The sequence below is a fragment of the Homo sapiens genome, chromosome X (genome assembly GCF_000001405.40).
Source record: "Homo sapiens chromosome X, GRCh38.p14 Primary Assembly".
Taxonomy (NCBI): Eukaryota; Metazoa; Chordata; class Mammalia; order Primates; family Hominidae; genus Homo; species Homo sapiens.
This window is the reverse complement of record NC_000023.11, coordinates 19486746-19506873: the sequence shown is the minus strand read 5'-3', so window position 1 is coordinate 19506873 and position 20128 is coordinate 19486746. Positions and strand designations below refer to the sequence as shown.

Below are 20128 nucleotides of genomic sequence, written 5' to 3'. Positions count from 1 at the left end.
CTAGGATGTTTTCATATTTCCTGAACATCGATAGGAAAACTATAAGACTAGGCCGGGTGCGGTGGCTCACGTCTGTAATACCAGGGCTTTGGGAGGCCAAGGCAGGCGGATCATTGGAGGTCAGGAGTTAGAGAGCAGCCTGGCCAACATAGTGAAACCCTGTCTCTACTAAAAATACAAAAAATTAGCTGGGCATGATGGCACACACCTGTAATCCCAGCTACTTGGGAGGCTGAGGCAGGAGAATCGCTTGAACCCGTGAGGTGGAGGTTTTGCAGTGGGCCAAGATCGCGCTACTGCACTCCAGCCTGGGCGGCAGAGCAAGACTCCGTCTCAAGAAAAATAAATAAATAAAAACTAAGACTAGGGCTTCAGTCTCCAGATTCGTTATTTGGTTTTGCTCTAGTCTGATGATACTCCTTTTCTGGCTGGCTTATACAAGAGTCATTGTGGGGTATAAAGTGTGGTGGAGATAGTGAGGTGGCTGCTAAAGATTTGTGCTGTTGCCAGGTGTGGTGGCTCACGCCTCTAATCCCAGCTCTTTGGGAGGCCAAGGTGGGTGGATCACTTGAGGTCAGGAGTTCGAGAGCAGCCTGGTCAACATAGCAAAACCCCGTCTCTACTAATAATACAAAAATCAGGCCGGACGCCGTGGTTCATGCCTGTAACTCCAGCACTTTGGGAGGCCAAGGTGGGTGGATCACCTGAGGTCAGGAGTTGGAGACCAGCTTGGCTAACATGGTGAAACCCTGTCTCTACTAAAAATATAAAAAATTAGCTGGGCGTTGTGGCAGGCACCTGTAATCCCAGCTACTCGGGAGACTGAGGCAGGAGAATCGCTTGAACTCGGGAGGTGGAAGTTGCAGTGAGCCGAGATTGTGCCATTGCACTACAGCCTGAGCAACGAGAGTGAAACTCCGTCTCAAAATTAAAAACAAAACAAACAAAAAACCCCAAAAATTAGCCTTGCGTGGTGGCGTGCACTTGTAATCCCAGCTACCTGGGAGGCTGAGGCAGGAGAATTGCTTGAACCCAGGAGGCAGAGATTGCAGTGAGCCAAGATCATGCCAGTGCACTCAAGCCCGGGTGACAAGAGTGAGACTCCATCTCAAAAAAAAAAAAAAAAGAAAAGAGATTTATGCTCGTAGTTATTGCTGAGAACCAAGGACTGCATTTCCCAGCATCCTTTGAGTCTATGTAGACTCATCCTTACTACCATATAGGTGAGAGTGATGTCTGCCACTTCTGGGCCAAGTTTTTGGTGAATCCACTAGGCCTTCCCATACCTTCTCATCCCTTTCCATGGTCCCCATGGGAACCTTGGAGTCCCCATATAGACGATGATGGTGGCACTTGATGGAAGGTACCTGACTCCCTGAGTTACTGTTTGGAGGACAGCTGGCAGAGGAGGAATATCCACTTTGGATTTTGCATGTGCAAGAGAGAAGCTTTTATTTGGTCTGGTTACTGAGATTTTGGCATCGTTTGTTATAGTAATAAGAGAGTTGCAACTTAGGTTTTGAAAATCTAGTCCAACTGCTAGAAAATTATCTCCTGGGGTAGGCCTTACCAAGAAAGAGTCAGGCTGTGGGTCATCTCATGTCACGAATCATTACTGTTCATAGTACATGCCAATCATGGAGCCCCCCTCTATGCTGCTGTGGGCTAAGAAAATAGAAATGAGATGCTTGGACCATCAGCCATCAGGTTAATACTGGCTTGGCGTGGGGGTGGGTGGAGACATTTTATCTTCCTTCATGGTTTCATCAGTTTTGGAGGCTAGGTAACTTTTTCAAATGTTTTATTTTTATTATTATTTTTTACATAAAATCTTTCAAAAAATAAGAGGTTTGGTGCTGTAGGAACCCTATACCTGTTTGGCAAGCTTTTGTTTCTGGGCTTTTTTTTTTTTTTTTTTGAGAGGAGGTCTCGCTCTGTTGCTCAGGCTAGAGTGCAGTGGCACGATCACAGCTCACTGCAGACTCTACCTCCCTAGCTCAGGTGATCCTCCCACCTCAGCCTCCCAGGTAGCTGGGACTACAGGCACATGCCACCACATCTGGCTAGTTTTTTGTACAGACAAGGTTTTGCCTTGTTGCCCAGGCTGGTCTTGAACTCCTGGGCTCAAGCGATCCACCTACCTTGGCCTCCCAAAGTGCTGGGATTACAGGCATGACCCACCGTGCCCAGCCTTAGGTAACTTTTTCCTTTGGCATTAAATGATACTGTAGTGATTGTTAGTTTTTATCTGACAGTGATATTGGGCTTTTTTTTAAACAAAAGATATGAAATGGTTTAAAATAAGGCTAGCTTTAGTTTTCCTTGCCACCTTTCACGTGAGTTATGTCTGGCTTCTCCCTCTGTGGTGGTATCTCTGGATTCTTTATTAGCTTGATGCATTGTGTGGCAAAGACAGTGTTCGCCAAACATCCATATGTTCTTCCACATTTCTTCATATCCCTTGGGCCCTCGTGACTAGTACTGGCCAGTGCGATGTGAGCAGCAGCAGCAAGCATCACTTTGGGCTTAAAGCAGTTAGGTGACGCACTCCTCCATCTCTCTGCCTCTGTTGTGGCAGACTTGAAGATCGGGGATTAAAGATAGCAATTAAGCCACTGAAGCCTTGGGGATTCGTCTGTTGTGGCAGCATAGCCTAGCTTATCCTGACTAATAGAGCTTGTCATGCATTCTGCTAAAAATACCTAAATACATCTCTTTTCTCTTTCTTTCCCCCTCCCCTCCCCTCACCTCCCCTCCCACAGGGTCTTGCTCTGTCACCTAGCTGGAGTGCAGTGACACAAACAGGGCTCACTGTAACCTCACCTTCCTGGACTCAAGCAATCTTCCTACCTCAGCCTCCTGTTTGTGTAGCTGGGACTACAGGTGCACGCCACTATGTCCAGCTATTTTTACTTTTTTTTGTAGAGATGGGGATCTCACTATATTGCCCAGGCTGGTCTCGAACTCCTGGGCTCAAGTGATCCTCCTGCCTCAGCCTTCCAAAGTGCCGGGATTACAGGTGTGACCCACCATGCCTGGCCTAAATGTACGTCTTGTTTCAACTTATTTTAGTGGGCTCAGCCCACATGTGCATTTGCTCCTGCAAGAAGGAGCCTGAAAAATGCCTTAAGACTTCTTATATCCTATGGCCGGGTGTGATGGCTCACACCTGTAATCCCAGCACTTTGGGAGGCCGAGGCAGGCAGATCACCTGAGGCCAGGAGTTTGAGACCATCCTGGCCAACACGGTGAAACCCTGTCTTTCCCAAAAAATACAAAAATTAGCCAGGCATGGTGGCCCATGCCTATAGTCCCAGCTTCTTGGGAGGCTGAGGTAGGAGAATCACTTGAACCCAGGAGGTGGAGGTTGCAGTGAGCTGAGATTGCGCCACTGCATTCCAGCCTGAGCAACAGAGTGAGACTCTGTCTCAAAGAACAAGAAGATAACTTGCTGAATATTCCTTCCTCATCATTCTGGAGAATGCTTAAAGTTCAGAGGAAGATGGACCTGTGGGAGATGTTGGTTTGATGGCTGTGCAGTGATGAAACAGGCAGCCCTCTGATACAGCACATACGTTTTGCATGCCATCTACACATGGTCAGGAGACTGGCCACATTTATTTCTAGCAGAGCATAGGAGCGATAGTTAATTTAGACATTGCCATCTATAAGGGTAAGTAAACATGGATGAGTAAAATCCCCCACCTAGCAGTTCATGTCAGAAAGCTAGGAGTCAGTGATCCCACTCTCTCCCTCATTGTCAAATCCAGGTAGTTACTTCCAAAATGTTTCTCAGATTTGCCCGCTTCTCTCTATATGCCCTGCTACTGTCTTGGTCTAAGCACCATCTTGTCTCATCCAGGTTACTGTCAGTAGCTTTGTAACTGGTCTCTCAAAGTTGGGCCGGTCTTGCTGCGTTCAAATTTATGTATCTGCCTAGAGGCTACTGTATCCTGGTTTCCGTCCCCATATTAGTCTATTTTCACAGTGCTACAAGATAGTAACTGAGACTGGGTAATTTATATACAAAAGTGGTAATTTTGTTTTGTTTTGAGACAGGGTCTCACCCTGTTGTCCAGGCTGGAGTGCAGTGGCACAACCTTGGCTCGCCGCAACCTCCACTTTCCCGGGCTCAAGTGATTCTCCAGTCACAGCCTCCAGAGTAGCTGGCATTACAGGCATGAGCCACCAATGTCTGGCTAATTTTTGTATTTTTTTGTAGAGATGGGCTTTTGCCATGTTGGCCAGGTTGGTCTTGAACTCCTGAGCTCAAGTGATCCACCTGCCATGGCCCCCCAAAGTGTTGGGATTACAGGTGTGAGCCACTGTGCCTGGCCCCAAAAGAGGTTTAATTGAATCACAGTTTAGCATGGCTGGGGAGGGCTTAGGAAACTTAAAATTATGGCAGAAGGGGAAGGGGAGGCAAGGCACGTCTTACATGGTGGCAGGAGAGAGAGAGAGCACAGGGGAAACTGCCACTTTTAAACCATCAGATCTCATGAGAACTTCCTCACTGTCATGAGAACAGCATGGGGGAACCGCCCCCATAATCCAGTCACCTCCCACCAAGTCCCTCCCTCCACACGTAGGGATTATAACTCGAGATGAGGTGTGGGGGACACAGCCAAACCATATCAGTCCCCACCCCCACCTGTAGTCTTCCTCTGATCAATACCTGTTCAGCTTTCATATCCAAGTTCTTCAAGGGAGCCTGCATGGACTCCCCTCCTTCTCCCTGTTGGCTTTTGTATGCTGAGGTTTTCTTTCCTCACAGGCAAAACAATTGTGATTAAATAATAATTATTACTTTTTGAGACTGAGTCTCTGTCGCCCAGGCTAGAGTGCAGTGGCACGGTCTTGGCTCACTGAAACCTCCACCTCCCAGGTTCAAACGATTCACCTGCCTCAGCCTCCCAAGTAGTTGGGATTACAGGCATATGCCACCTTGCCCGGCTAATTTTTGTATTTTTAGTAGAGATGGGGTTTCACCATGTTGGCCAGGCTGGTCTAGAACTCCTGACCTCAGGTGATCTGCTTGCCTCAGCCTCCCAAAGTGCTAGGATTGCAGGCATAAGGCACCGCACCCAGCCCTTAAATAATTATTGATTTAATGATTGATCTTCTGCCAGACAGCGAACTCTTCAATGGCCGGGAGCCAGGTATAGTTTTCTTTGCCACTGTTTGAGTGATTGCTACGAATATCTACCCAGCTCCTGTTAAAAATAATCATCAGTGGGCACAGATGACAGCTGGCTTCTCCTGTTGAGATAAAGCAGATCTTATGTGGTGCCCTCAAAAGAAATTTAGAATGCAGTTTCCAGTGGCATGTTGAAAATGGTAGTCAGGCCATAGATAGAGTGCACTTACGATTTTATTAAGAAGTAACATCCATCCTAATGACAGATTTCTAGGTCTGAACCTTTCTCTTCAGTGGTGCATATCTGACAGAAGAGACTAGAAGAACTCAAACTGGACATGCTGGGATGGAAGTAGTGGTTTCAGTTATTGCTGGGAATGGAATACCGGTTCTTTTTCTTCTGGTTTGTCCATATTTTCTATACTGTATGTTATTTTCTAGAATATAAGTACGATTTTTACTTTAAGTACAGTAGGCGATTAAAGATGGCGTTGTAACTCAGAAGCCTTCTCCCTTTCTCCCTCCCTGCTGGAGAGAGTGGCCAGGCGTGCTCAGGCTAGACAACCATGAGTGCTCCCAGGGACCCCCGGCTGCAGAAGTCCATGGCTGGACCTCAGCTGTCTTCTGTTGGATTTGGCTGTTGGCTTGTCCATAGGGGCCCTTCCCTGAGCTTCCTTCGTTTCCATGCTGCTGTTAGTGCTACTGACTCAGAATTGAGCCTGGAACTTTCCTCACGTTAGTTATGTGGGCCAACTTTGAAAGAAGCATTTCACCTGCAGCATTTAATGGAGACATTGCTGTTTGAGCCTTGAGTGCATTTTAGAGTAGATATCCGTGGGCTGGTCTGCTACCTTACTGGCTGTGTTATTATCTGTTACTAGGACAAAATGTATTTTCAGTTCCCTGCAGTGAACTTCCAAACGTAGTTTTGGAATACGAGCCATAAACTGTTTTAAAAGTCTTCTATGTATCTGGCTTTGAAATAGGTGCTGTTTCAATCCCGGCCAAATAACATGGTTGGAATAGGACTGAACTTTCTGTAAAGCAGGCTGGCAAAATTCTTGTTTCCCAGTAACTTGCACAGGTTTTGGCAATTGCATGTGATGGGACTGGCAGAAATGCCTGGCGGTTGTTGGGGCTTGGTTTGGGGAGGGAGAGTGGTTGGGGAGCAGAAGGGAGTTGAGTAGTGGGTGAGTCCTGGCAGGAAGTAGAGCTCATTCAGGAATTGGGGTTTGTGGCAGGCCATCCCAGGGGCCAGGCAGAACTGGACACAGATAGGGAGGGGAAAGAGAAGGTAGAGAGAGACAGGAGCATTCGATGTAGATAACTTTCCCTCTTAAATTATTTTATCATGGAAAATTTCAAGCATGTACATTACCCAGCTCTGACAATTATTAACATCCTGCTGTTCTCATTTCTTCTTTACCTCTATCCATTCCCTACCTCATACTTGATTATTCTTTTTATTTCATTATTTTTATATTTATTTAGAGATGGAGTCTCACTCTGTCACCCAGGCTGGAGTGCAGTGGCGCGATCTCGGCTCACTGAAACCTCCATCTCCCAAGTTCAAGCGATTCTCTTCCCTCAGCTTCCTGAGTAGCTGGGATTACAGGCATACGCCACCACACCCAGCTAATTTTTGTATTTTTAGTAGAGATTGGGTTTCGCCATGTTGGCCAGGATGGTCTCGAACTCCTGACCTCAGGTGATCCACCCGCCTTGGCCTCCCAAAGTGCTTGGATTTCAGGCGTGGGCCACTGCACCCGGCCAATTATTCTTTTTAAACATATTAAATGTAAAATGTATAGGCATTGTGATATACAAATCTCAGCTGTACAACTTTAAAAAATGACTAAACCTGTCTAATGCAACCCCCATCGCAATATAGAGAACATTTCTGTTTTTCCAGAAAGTTCCATCATGTCCCCTCTCCCTCAATCCTACCTTTACCCCTATAAGGCTATGACTGATCTGCTGTCATCTCTGTAGATTAGATCTGCCTTTCCTAGAGCTTCATCTAAATGGTCTCATACAATATGTATTCTTTGGTGTCTGGCTTTGTTCACTCAGCATGATGATTTTGAGATTCGTCCATACAGTTATATGTATTTGTAGTTTGTTCCTTTCTAATATTATACAATTTTATTGTAAGAATATACCGGTTAGTTTAGGCATTCTCCTATTGATGAACGTTTGGGTTGCTTCTAGTTTGGAGTTGTTAACAACCAAAGCAGCTCTGAACATTTGCAATTTGCAAGTCTTTGTGACTTTTTGTCGACCAGTGTTTTTATTCCTCTTGAGTAAATACCTATGAGTAGAATGGCTGGATCAAAGGGTTAAGTGTGTGTTGAAGTATATCAGAAACTTCCAACCCTTTTTCTGAAGTGGTTGTACCATTTTATATTCTTAGCACCAATGTGTGACAGTTTCAGTGGCTTCACATCGTCACCAACACTGTATTACCAATCGTGTCAATTGTGGTTCTTCTCATAAGGGTTGTGGTGGTTTCTCCTCATGGTTTTAATTTGCCTTTCCCTCATGATTAATGATGTTGAGTACTTCTCCATGTGCTTTTTGGACATGCAGATATCTTCCTTTGTGAGGTGTCCATTCTAGCCATTGACCCATTTAATTGGGTTGTCTGTCATCTTATTATTGAATTATGAGAGGTTTTTATGTTTTGGATTTAAGTGCTTTGTCATATATTTTGTGAATATTTGCTCCCAGACTGTGGCTAGCTTCTCCATGTACATAATGGTGGCTTTTGATGAGCAGAAGCTCTTCGTTTTGAAGAAGTCTAATCTAGAATATTATTCTTTTATGGTTGCCTGCTCTATCTTGCCTAAGGAACCTTCCAGGTTGCAGTTGTGCAGGAACTCTTTTATGTGTTCTTCCAAAAACTTTGTTTCGGCTTTTACATTTAGATCTGTGATTCATCTCAAATGAAGTTTGACACAGTTCCTCTTGACAAACCGAGCCTGATGCCTTGAACACGTGGGATGCCAGTCTTGCCCCACGATGAGTGCCCCCAGGCACTTTGAGTCCAGAAGGCAGGACCACTACTGCCTCCTTTTCGTCTCATTATCCAGGAAAGTACAGGAAGTGCAGGTTATCCTTGATGCAGTGGCCTTTCTGCCTTCCGGAGCAAAAACTCCCACCAGAGACCTATAATGAAACCTTCTAAACATGTCTTCTATCATTGTGTCACACTGGCCCTGGTGATACAGGTGGTGACGGAGAAAGACCATTTGCTTTATAGGTCTGAGTTTGGATTTCTATCTTCTCGTTTATTGGCTGTGTGAGCCTGGATAACTTACTTAATATCTCTGAGCCTCATTTAAAAAGACCCCTGTGTAGAGATTCAAAGTCTGTGCCTTGAACTTAGTAAGTGTTCAGTAAATGTCAGCACCCTCCCCCACCTGCACCACTCCCCTTGACCCCCATCAATAAACATACCAGAACCCCAGTGTAGAATGAAATGTGCTTTGTGAAATAATAAATTGCTGAAACCCGGTGTGTGAACTTTTTCACAAAGTATTAAGTTAATGTTTCCATAATTTAAACTAGTTTATTGGAATAACTACATTAGGAAATATATGATACATGCCAAAGCTTGCTTTTATGTTTAAATTAATGGTATCGATCAGTATACATTTCCATTTATCACATTTCACTTGTTAGTATATATTCTTTTTATACATTATTTAAAAGCAGCAAAGTTATTTAGTTAAATAAAAAATGCAGGGCTCAGATCCCTTGGGCAGTTATCATGTAGTGGGGTTGCTTTATATGCCTGCAGGTTGTAAGGAAAGTTTTCAAAATTCTGAGGTTGAAGATTGCATCCTAACCCCATTCCTTGTCCTGTGCAGAGGAACGCAAACTTGTGCCACTTGATTTTGAGGTGTTTTGTCATGTAGTAGTAGTAATCAGAATATAATAAAATATCTCTGCATCTTATCGACAATGCTTACTAATGCACCAGGATATCCTAATGCCAGCCATGTTGCATCAGCCCAGTTCTAGCCATACAAGATACCTTGTATGGCCATTAATATTGAGAGTAAAAGAAATGTAGAATAAATGGGACAAAAAGGAAATGAAAATTGTTGATATTGTAAAAGTGCTTCATTGGTCTCCAGTAAATCCCACCAAATATTTTGGTTGAGCTGGAAGCAAAGACCATTTTGATGTTCACAATGATTGTCATTGGCTCTCACAAGGCTAAAGTTTTAAGACTTGTTAGATGAGTTTATTTTAAAAATGTGTTATCTGGGCCAGGTGTGGTGGCTCATGCCTGTAATCCCAGCCCTTTGGGAGGCTGAGGCAGGCGGATCACTTGAGGTCATGAGTTTGAGACCAGCCTAACCGCCATGATGAAACCCCATCTCTACTAAAAATACAAAAATTAGCCAGGCGTGGTGGCGCATGCCTGTGATACCAGCTGCTCGGGAGGCTGAGGCAGGAGAATCGCTTGAACGTGGGAGGCAGAGGTTGCAGTGAGCCGAGATCATGCCACTGCACTCCAGCCTGGGCAACAGAGTGAGATTCCATCTCAAAAAAAAAAAAAAAAGTATTATCTATCCTGAGAATGAGAATACTGCATCCAATGTGCTTATCATTGCTAAGAAGCAAATAGATAAGTTTTTGTAAAGCACTGTCTGGCTATGGAGTGCTTGATGCAGATCATAAACTCTGCACATCCCTTCTCAAAGGACCACCTACGAAAAAGGAAATTGGTACATGAAAAAAAGGAAATTAGAAGGGGCAAGTTCCAAGCAACATGGCCCCTGTATCTAGCAATGAGTCACCACTCCCACAGGCTATGGGGACAGATACTGCTGAGGAAGCGTAGGGGACAGATACTGCTGAGGAAACGTAGAGCACAGAATGGGTGAAATCAGCAGCCAGGCAGAAGTCCGGATGCTTAGTGATGATCTTTAAGGAGCTGTTGATTTTGTTAAGGAAAGAGTGTATTATTGTGGGAGGAGTATATGTAAAAGCGATGGTTCCCTCGAGCCGGCTGACATTCATTTTAACAAGACCTAATTAAGAAATGCAGGGGCTACTTACTGTGATTTTTGTCACAGTAACAGGAAAGCTCAGCGGTGCCCTTGTCAGGGTCTGCAGCGTGTGGCTGGAGTACATCAAACTCTGCACCACTCTAGAATTGCGCACAGTTTGAAGGTGATGTGTGACACAGACCTTTTGAAAGAAGAGGTTGCTATCTGCTGGTCAGAAAAGGCTTCTCAGAATGTGTCTCCAAAAATTTTGCTACAGAGAGTCATGTTAAAGCGTTCCCTTTAGAAAAGGGTTGAGGAAAGCTGAAGAGGAATCTTCAGATGACGAAGATGAAAATAATGGGATGGTGGCCAGGCGTGGTGGCTCAAGCCTGTAATCCCAGCACTTTGGGGGGCCGAGGCAGGTGGATCACTTGAGGTCAGGAGTTCAAGACCAGTCTGGCCAACATGGCGAAACCCTGTCTCTACTAAAAATACAAAAATTAGCCTGGCGTGGTGGTGCACACCTGTAGTCCCAGCTACTCAGGAAGCTAAGGCACAAGAATCGCTTGAACCTGGGAGATGGAGGTTGCAGTGAGCTGAGATCATGCCACTGCACTCCAGCCTGGGCAACAGAGCAAGACTCCATCTCAAAAAAAAAAAAAAAAAATTGGGGTGATGTGTTCACTGGCTGCCAGGGAACCCAGAGTTGGAGCTGTGAAGGGTGTGACAGCAAGGATGATGACAATGATATCAATACCCATGTATTTTTATTTTTTTAGAGATGGGGTCTCACTCTGTCACCTAAGCTGGAGTGCAGTGGCACAATCATAGCTCACTGCAGTTTCAAAGTCCTGGGCTCAAGCGATCCTCTTGCCTCAGCCTCCTAAGTAACAATATTGATAGCATTTAAAGTGATGAATGCAGTCTAGCTTGCAGTATCATGCTGCATATTTTTCTGTATTGTCAGATGGAAGAACAATATGTATTTGCAAAAGATGAAGTGGCTTAACTCATGCTATAATGTATATTGCAAATATTTCACTTTGAGTGGTCTCAAATTAAGCCCATTGAGCCCATTCACCTCAGTGAGTAAAACGTAGTTGGCATATATGTGCTGCATTTCTTTTGGAAAAACTGGTAGTAGACACATCTCAATCACACTTACATAGTTGAAAAAAAAACAAAAGATTTACTTTCAGTCATTCTTACAAAAAAATTTGATACTGGGAAGCAAAAGATAGGCCAGGTAGTTTCCTGATGTCCTCACGCCTCCCCTCCTTCCTCCTAGTTAAAACTCGATCCCCCAGGCAACGAGTACCACTCACTATGACACTTGGTAAGGACTTGCTGATGTCCTAACACTGAATTGGTATATTGGCTCCTTCTTATGAGATTGGAAAATAAGATTTAAGTGACACTTCAAGCTGGGTGCGGTGGCTCATGCCTGTAATCCCAGCACTTTGGGAGGCCGAGGTGGGCAGATCACTTGAGGTCAGGAGCTGAAGACCAGCCTGGCCAACATGGGGAAACCCCGTGTCTACTAAAAATACAAAAATTAGCCAGGCATGGTGGTGCATGCCTATAATCCCAGCTACTCAGGAGGCTGAGGCAGGAGAATCACTTGAACCCAGGAGGTGGAGGTTGCAGTGAGCCAAGATTGCACCACTGCACTCCAGCCTGGGCGACAGAGCAAGACTCCATCTCAAAACAAACAAACAAAACACTTCACAACTTTCTTCACTGACTTGACCTGAGTATGTTGGAAATAAGCAGCAGTGGATAAGTAAGATCTAAATTATGGTAGGAGTTAGGAGAGGTGCCTTCTGTCCAGTATATCTGGGCTTTTTTTTTTTTTAAAGGTAGCTTTTAGGTAGCTAGTGTTGTCATATGTCCAATCCAATTTTTGTTTTGAAGTCTTTGGCCAAAAACTTATTCTGAAGTCTAGCGCTTTTCATTTTGACAAAGCCAGTCTTACTTACTTTCATAATTTCTTTTTTTTCTGCAGGGAGTTAGATAGACTTAAGGATAACCTGGTATATATTTAAAGACTGGTATGAGCCAGTACAGTCACAGAATTACTATATGGTAAATCATTTGCCATCATATCACTTTGTTGACTAATGCTTTGCTTCAGAAATCAGATACTTTTAAACCACACTAGAAAATTATAGTTTTATGTATTACCCATAAAACATTTAGCAAAAATAGTATTCAAGATAGTGTTCAAAAGTTTTCAACGAACTAAAGTCCTATGCATCATCTTTCTTATTTAACACTAGCGTGTTTCAAGGTCCTTGTAATTGACCTCCTGCTTGAGGTCATTGTAACTGGTTTTTAAATTACACTTTCCTGCTAAGCATAGATTTCAACTGGAACCTTGGCTTTTTGCAAATCCTTGATGTAGTATCTCTCTCCCTCCTCCTCTCTCTCTCTCTTAAAAAGACAGAGTCTCATTATGTTGCCCAGACTGGACTTGAACTTCTAGGTTCAAGTGCTCCTCTTGCCTCAGCCTCCAGAGTAGCTGGGACTTCAGGCACACGCCACCATGCCTGGTATCACTTCTTAAAGTTTGCTAAACCAAGATAGGTAGGGTGGGTGTGTGTGCCTGCCTCAGGGTCAGAAAAGATGGTTTATATGATATGTGTTTTTTTTTTCCCTGAAGCTGGCCTGCGTCAGTAGGAACTGAAAGGTAATGGTTGCTAGGAGCACAGGGTGTATTTGGGAATGAAAATCTGAATTTTATCTCTTCCTTTTTATCTGTGATCTTTTTGCTTAAGATTTAGCCTGATATATAAATTTGTTTTGCCCCCAGGTAGCTCAGTTTTACACAGTGTGTCAGGAATGTACTAAGCCTCATGAGGGCATCGGGGAACACAGGACTTGGGGTTGGAAAAGCTGATTTTGAGCCCTGACTTGTTCATGCTGTACTTGAGCGACCTTGGGCGAGTCTGTTAACCTCTTTGCACTTCATTTTTCTACCTGCTTAGTGAAGCCAGTGCTTGCCCTGCCTGCCTGCTGGGGTTCTGAAATTCAACTGAGAAGTCTGTGGAAGTGTTTTGTAAATGGCAAAGCATGTGACCACGGTGATGATGAAAGGTTTTAGGTAACTGGTGCTCTCTTTAGGGATAAAGCCCTTTTTTCTTTGTATAGAATAAAAGTTCCAATCTGGTGTTTTATTACAATTAACAATTTATAAATCAGATGCTAAATTCGTGTTTTAGGAATTCTGAAAATAAGCCAGTTGCATACTATTTTGGTATAAATCCTCAAAGTGAACTTAGTCTACTGGCCTGAGTGACAAATGTCAGGCAAAAATTCCAACTTTAGATTCGAGGCAGTTTTCCTATTGAACATGAATTGCTCAGAATTTTTTTTTTTTTTTTTTTTGAGTAGCAGTATTAATATGTCCTGTTTTCATTGACAGTGAAAAGTCTCTCCCAATCCTTGGTAGGCCGGTGGGTCCCAGCACAGAATGTTGAGAAGGCAAAGAAGGGAGGACTTCATGTCACTTGATCAAAATGGAATCTTGGCAACAAGTTCCTCTGCCACGTTCAAGGTTGCCTGTGAAAATGGGCTGTGTGACTTCGGGACTACTGTCCCTATCCTCCCTTCTGCCCCGTTCCGCTATTCCCCTTTGTCTGTTTCTATTTGCTTCCTTGCCTTTATTAACTAATTATAACAGTCACCATGGCCTTGGAATTAATATCTATGTTGCTACTTTTTCATAACATCACTATGAAACATGTAATTTTAAAAAAAATCTTTTGAGACAGAGTTTCGCTCTTGTCATCCAGGCTGGGGTACAGTGGTGCAACCTTGGCTCACTGCAACCGCCTCCTCCCAGGTTCAAGTGATTCTCCTGCCTCAGCCTCCCGAGTAGCTGGGATTACAGGCGCCCACCCCACACCCAGCTAATTTTTTGTATTTTTAGTAGAGACGGGATTTCACCACGTTGGGTAGGCTGGTCTCAAACTACTGACCTGAGGTGATCCACCCACCTCCGCCTCCCAAAGTGCTGGGATTACAGGCGTGAGCCACCGCGCCCGGCCTGAAACATATAATTTTTAATGTAGATAAGTAAGAGTCCAGGAAGCAATCCTATAGGCAGAATGTCTAATTTACTCAGCTGCAGTGGCGCATTATCTTGACTCTAAGCAAATGTCTTTGGGGAGTGGAATTACCCATTTGAGAGAAATTGATGAGGCTGGGTTGTAGAGTGTTTCCTCAGTATAGACGTGCATCCTTTCATTAGTAGATGACCTCTAAAGGGTAAATTTGACTCTGAGAGTCTCCTGCTAAAAAACTCTCTTGATTATTTAAAAATATTTTTAGGTGAGACATTGATACTATGGTTATTTTTTTCTTTGAGTTCTCATCTTTTAGTGATATATCCTGAAATATTGGGGGATAAAACAACGTGGTGTCTGGTGGGATTTATTTTAAAATAACACAGGGAGGGAGGGGTGGATGTTGCGGATGGTAGTAAAGATGAAACAAAGCCGGCCTTGAGTTGATCGTTGTTGAGGTGGGAGGTATGGAGATTTCATTATACTATTCTGTCTACTTTTTATGTATATTTGTAGTTCTGCATAATAAAAAGTTTTAAAGAGGCCAGGAGCAGTGGCTCACAGCTGTAATCCTAGCACTCTAAGAGGCCGAGGTGGGAGGATTGCCTGAGCCCAGGAGTTCAAGACCACCCTGGGCAACAGAGTGAGACCCCATCTCTGTTTAAAAAAAAAAAAAAAAGTAGCCAGGTGCAGTGGCTAACGCCTGTAATCCCAGCACTTTGGGAGGCTGAGGTGGGCGGATCGCTTGAGGTCAGGAGTTTGAGACCAGCCTGGCCAACGTGGTGAAACCCCATCTCTGCTAAAAATACGACAAAATTAGCCGGGCATGGTGGCACATGCCTGTAGTCCCAGCTACTCTGGAGGCCAAGGCACAAGAATAGCTTGAGCCTGGGAGGTGGAGGTTGCAGTGAGCCGAGATCGTACCCATGCATTTTTGAGACTCTGTCTCAAAAATAAATAAGTAAGTAAAAATAAAAAGTTAAAAAACCCAACCATAGGTTTCCCATTGCCTCAAGGAAGGTCCAGCCCTCCACCTCCAGGCTCGTTTTCTGGGGTATTGTGGCCCCAGGAAGTGATATGTGGGTGGCCTTCACACTTACACCCTGGCTTGCTGCTGGCCCCTTGCACTAGCTGGCTTCTGTTAATGCACCGCTCTTTCCTTCCCTTTGATCCCCCATATCCTCATCCCATTTGCCTGCCTGACTCTTACAGAGCCTCAGGTCATGGACAGTATCCCTTCCTCCAGGCATTCTGTGATTGCCCTCCGCTCAGGTGTGGATTATGTGCCCTCCTGGGGGTGCTCTGTTCACTGTTTCCCTTATTTTGGCTGCCCTCATGGTGATCCTAACCATCCCCTTCCTTCTGGTTACCCACATTGTATTGTAGTTGGTTTTTTCTTTTGAGGAAAGTGATTATGCCCTGTTGACACTTCTATCCCTGGCACCCATCAGAATCCTGCCATACAGCAGGCAATCCATAAATAAGAGAATAAAGGGCCCACTCTGGGGCTTAGTGGCACTTGGCCTCAGGTTCCCAGCGCCTCTCTACAGAGCTAGCGGTGTCTGGTGCTGATATGCTGCCTGCCTGCCTTCATGTTTCTTCACGCCCTTGTTCAACTGGCCTCTGTTGTGTCCCATCGGGATTTTGAGTGACTTTCTAGAAGTCACAGCAGTGCGAGCATGAGTTTGGACACTACATTCCTATATCTCCACTGCACATGGTAAGGAAGCTCCCATCAAACTTGGAACTCTTACATCCTCTAGAATGTTTTGAGTTTTAAAACGGTGCCCCATACTACTAAGCGTAATTTAAACATGCTCATTATTCATGTAATAAGTTGCTCCTCTGTTTTGAATAGGTCTCTATTACAGGGTGCAACTCCAGGGTGCATTTTATTTTTTTTTTTTTTTTAGTTTATGAGACAAGGTCTTACTCTGTCACTTAGGCTGGAGAGCAGTGGCATGATCACAGCTCACTGCAACCTCGACCTCCCAGTCTCCAGCCATCCACCCACCTTAGCCTCCTGAATAACTGGGACTACAGGCACGCACCACCACACCCGGCTAATTTTTTGTATTTTTTATAGAGATGGGGTTTCGCCATGTTGTCCAGGCTGGTCTTGAACTGCTGAGCTCAAGCATTCTGCCCACCTCGGCCAACTAAAGTGTTGGGATTACAGGCATGAGCCACTGCGCCCAGCCAGGGCACGTTATATGTTGTTAAGTTGATGGTAGACATGTGAGCCAGGAGCTATGACAGGACTGTTTATTGCAGCAGTGTGAAATAGGAAATGAATAAAAATCTGTCACAACAGAATTCTATACAGAAGCGAAAACGTATGAACTGGAGCTAAACGCACAAATTGGTTGAATGCCACCAAAAAATAGCAAGCTGAAGAATACATACAATGCAATACCATTTATATGAAGTTCAAAGACATGCAAAACTGAGCAATATACTGTTAAGGAATTTTTGTATGTATGTGTGTGTGTGTGTGTGTGTGTGTGTGTGTGTGTGTGTGTGTGTATAATGCCTATACATGCCTGTACGTATTGTCTTAGTCTGTTTGGACTGCTGTAACATAATGCCTGGGCATGGCTTCTAAACAACAGAAATTTATTTATTTATTTAGAGACAGAGTCTCACTCTGTTGCCCAGGCTGGAGTGCAGTGGCACGATCTGAGTTCACTGCAACCTCTGCCTCCCAGGTACAAGCGATTCTCCTGCCTTAGCCTCCCGAGTAGCTGGGATTACAGGCACCTGCCACCACGCCCAACTAATTTTTGTATTTTTAGTAGAGACGGGGTTTCACTATGTTGGACAGGCTGGTCTCGAACTCCTGACCTCAGGTGGTCCACCTGCCTTGGCCTCCCAAGGTGCTAGGACTACAGGCATGAGCCACTGCACCCAGCCAGAAATTTATTTCTCATAATTATGGAGACTAGGAAGTCCAACATCAAGGTGGCGGCAGACTCATTGTCTGGTGAGGACCTGCTTTCTAGTTCACAGACAGGACCTTCTCCCTGTGTCCTGGAATGATGAAAGGGGGAAAGCAGCTCCCCGGAGTCTCTTTTATAAGTGCACTAATCCAATTTATGAGGCCTCCATCCTCATGACCTAATCACCTCCCAAAGGCCTCATCTTCAGGTACCATCATATTGGGGGATAGGTTTCAACACATGAACCTTGAGGGGACACAAACGTTCATTCTATAGCGCACACACACGTGCGTGGAACTGACAAATACATAGATCCGGACAGAAATGCTCTCTGGGCAGGAGGGAGGAGATGTGATCAGGGAGGGGCACATGGGACCCTGAGTGCAGGTAACCCTCTGACTTGGGCTGCACAGAAGGTACATGGTTTTTCGTTGCATTATACTTTATGCCTCATATATAAGCTAAATATATTCTTCAGATGTGTGATATGTCATAACAAAAATAACATTAAAAATCCATCAGCAAGTTCTAAGTGAGGTTACATTCCCAGCACTTTGAAGAAGAAAGAGGATTAAAAAAAATTCTTACTGCATTTCTTCCACAGTTCATAGGGTAATTTTAATCAAATCATTCCTTACTTTACCTAACAGGCTGATGACAGAAATACACATTGCTATAGCTCCTCACTGGTGATCACCAGTGAGTAGATGAAGTAGACAGATCATCTCCCCTAATCCTGTCCTCTCCTTGTTCATTGCAGATGTTGCTGTGGTAGACATGAGCGATGTCTCCAGACAGCCTTCCCTCTTCTACCATCTTGGAGTCCGAGAAAGCTTTGACATGGCCAATAATGTGATCTTGTACCATGACACCGATGCCGACACTGCTCTCTCTTTGAAGGTACAGTGTATTCACCTTCTCCTGAGTACTTTGTTTTGGGAAAGCAGAATTATATGTCTAGCTGAAATGCCACAGTAGCACAGGAAGTTGGAGAAAAACAAAGACTTGCTTGTGCAATTCTTTCCTTCCCACCACAGATTCTAGTTCACACAGATGACTTCCTGGCTACTTCGTGAGCATCTGTGCTACAGTCGTACGTTTGCAGGCAACTTGGGCATTTCCGGGCTCGTTAGGGAAGTGGAGGCAAACACTCCTATTAGTTTCCATTGAAGCAAACACACTGTCCCGAATTCCTTCATGAGCAATTGGATCCAAACCTACACATAAAAATCAGTTCTGAATTCCTTCATGAGCAATTGGATCCAAACCTACACATAAAAATCAGTTCTCAACTTGGATAATAATATGAAGACATTGAACAGTTACCGAAATGGACAGAATATTTTAGTATAGACACAATTAGTCTTTGATGTTATTTTCCCCCAGTCTGAAAGCAAAGCAAAACTGAAAACGTGTGTGTTCCTGCACAACTCAATCATGGTTGAGAATTTCTAAAATGTATTTTTGCAAGTTTGAGACAAGCTTTTTTGGGTAACATAGTATTTTTTTAAAAAATGCTTGCATTTGTATAGTGGAAATGTTTAACATGAGTTATTCCAAAATTCAGTGGATATTGATATTGTTGAATATTTTAGTCAGAAAATCCTGGCCTATGTTAAATCATTTTAGGAATAATGAATTAGTTTGTTTATAGCAGTGCTTCTCGGCCTTGAGTGCACTTCAGAATTACTGGGAGAGCTTGTAAATATCCCCATGCCTAGGCCCCACCCCAGACCAATTACATCACAGTCTCGGGGATGGGGGTTGGGACCAAGGCACGGAGATTTTTTTAACCTCCCAAATGTGCAACCATGGGTGAGAACCAATGGTTTGGAGAGTCAGCCTTCACAGACATCATTTCTAAAGGTTCAGTTCCCTCAGTATTAAAAATCACTGGTAGATAGTAGTACAATTTTATGCCAAAGTTGGACATTTTCATTGTGTTTCTTGAGATTTAATATTAACTAGATTTTCTGGGTTGTGTAAGGATTTGAGATTATTTCCTGGTAGAAATACCACCTGCTTGAGATGTGTAACTTGTATGTGCTAAACATCATATATACTTTACATAGATATGTACTCAGTAATTATGGCAAAATACTGTATTTTAATAAGTCATTTGTATGACAGTGAAAGAAGAAACTTTTATTAGTGTACTTTACATTGTAGAATAGTTTCCCCAGGGCTATAAACCAATGTGAATTACATTAGATAGTTAGATATTGACCTTTTCTTTTACTGATTTTCACCAAGGTAGCTATGCTTAGGAATATTTAGAACTTAGCAAGTATGAAAGATATAGATTATTAACCTATATTTTGATGAAAAACATGAAATTAGAATTTTTTTTTCAATTTAGGACAGTTTCTTCAACTGTGCCTTAGCAAAGCCCTCTGGAAAGTTCAATGGACTAGATGTTTTAATTTTTAATAATACAGAAAAATATTTCCTAAAATGGAAATGGGTAGTCAGTTATATTTAACACCAGAAGAAGCAGTTTGCACTTGTTATCAGGAAATAAAAATCTGAGAATATATAAAACATGTTTTACAGGGCAGCTGTTTAGTTATGGTGTTTTCTCCGCCCTTCCCCCCCCCCACCCCCAGAAATGTTGGTGCGTAAATGAGACAGTCAAAGGCTGCCTAATTATCATACTAAATTTACTGACTAGAATTGTTGTCATTGAATTTGAACATTCCTAGACAGTTGTAGCAGGGTGTCAGGAATTCTACTACCAACACCCCTTCTGTAGGAAGGCTGACTGTGGTGTGGCCTTCACATTGATTGATTCAGGAAGTGGTTCCAGATCCGGGGATAGCACGGTGCCTTCTGGGCCCTTTCTTGCTATCGCCGACATTCTTTTCTGGGAAGGCAAGATGCAGGGCACTCAGCACCCCAAACTTGAAGCTCAAAATATCTTTTGGGCAAAAGCATTGGCCCTGTTCTGGGGAAATCCTTATAAATGCCCCCTAATAGTTCCAG

At 43.8% G+C, this 20128-nt stretch overlaps 1 protein-coding gene and 1 pseudogene across 5 annotated transcripts in view; both read left to right on the top strand.

Annotated features, from left to right (window-relative positions):
• The window catches only part of MAP3K15 (mitogen-activated protein kinase kinase kinase 15), a 155450-nt gene that overhangs the window by 8635 nt on the left and 126687 nt on the right, over positions 1 to 20128 (top strand). For all 5 annotated transcript variants that reach the window (XR_007068188.1, NM_001001671.4, XM_011545508.4 and 2 more), the window contains exon 2: positions 17907 to 18046. Coding sequence is in view for 4 of the 5 variants with exons in the window: in NM_001001671.4 (NP_001001671.3) it covers positions 17907 to 18046 (140 nt within the window). In the remaining variant the exon portion in view is untranslated. The remainder of the gene's footprint in view (positions 1 to 17906; positions 18047 to 20128) is intronic.
• EIF5P2 (eukaryotic translation initiation factor 5 pseudogene 2) lies at positions 9704 to 10508 on the top strand (annotated as a pseudogene).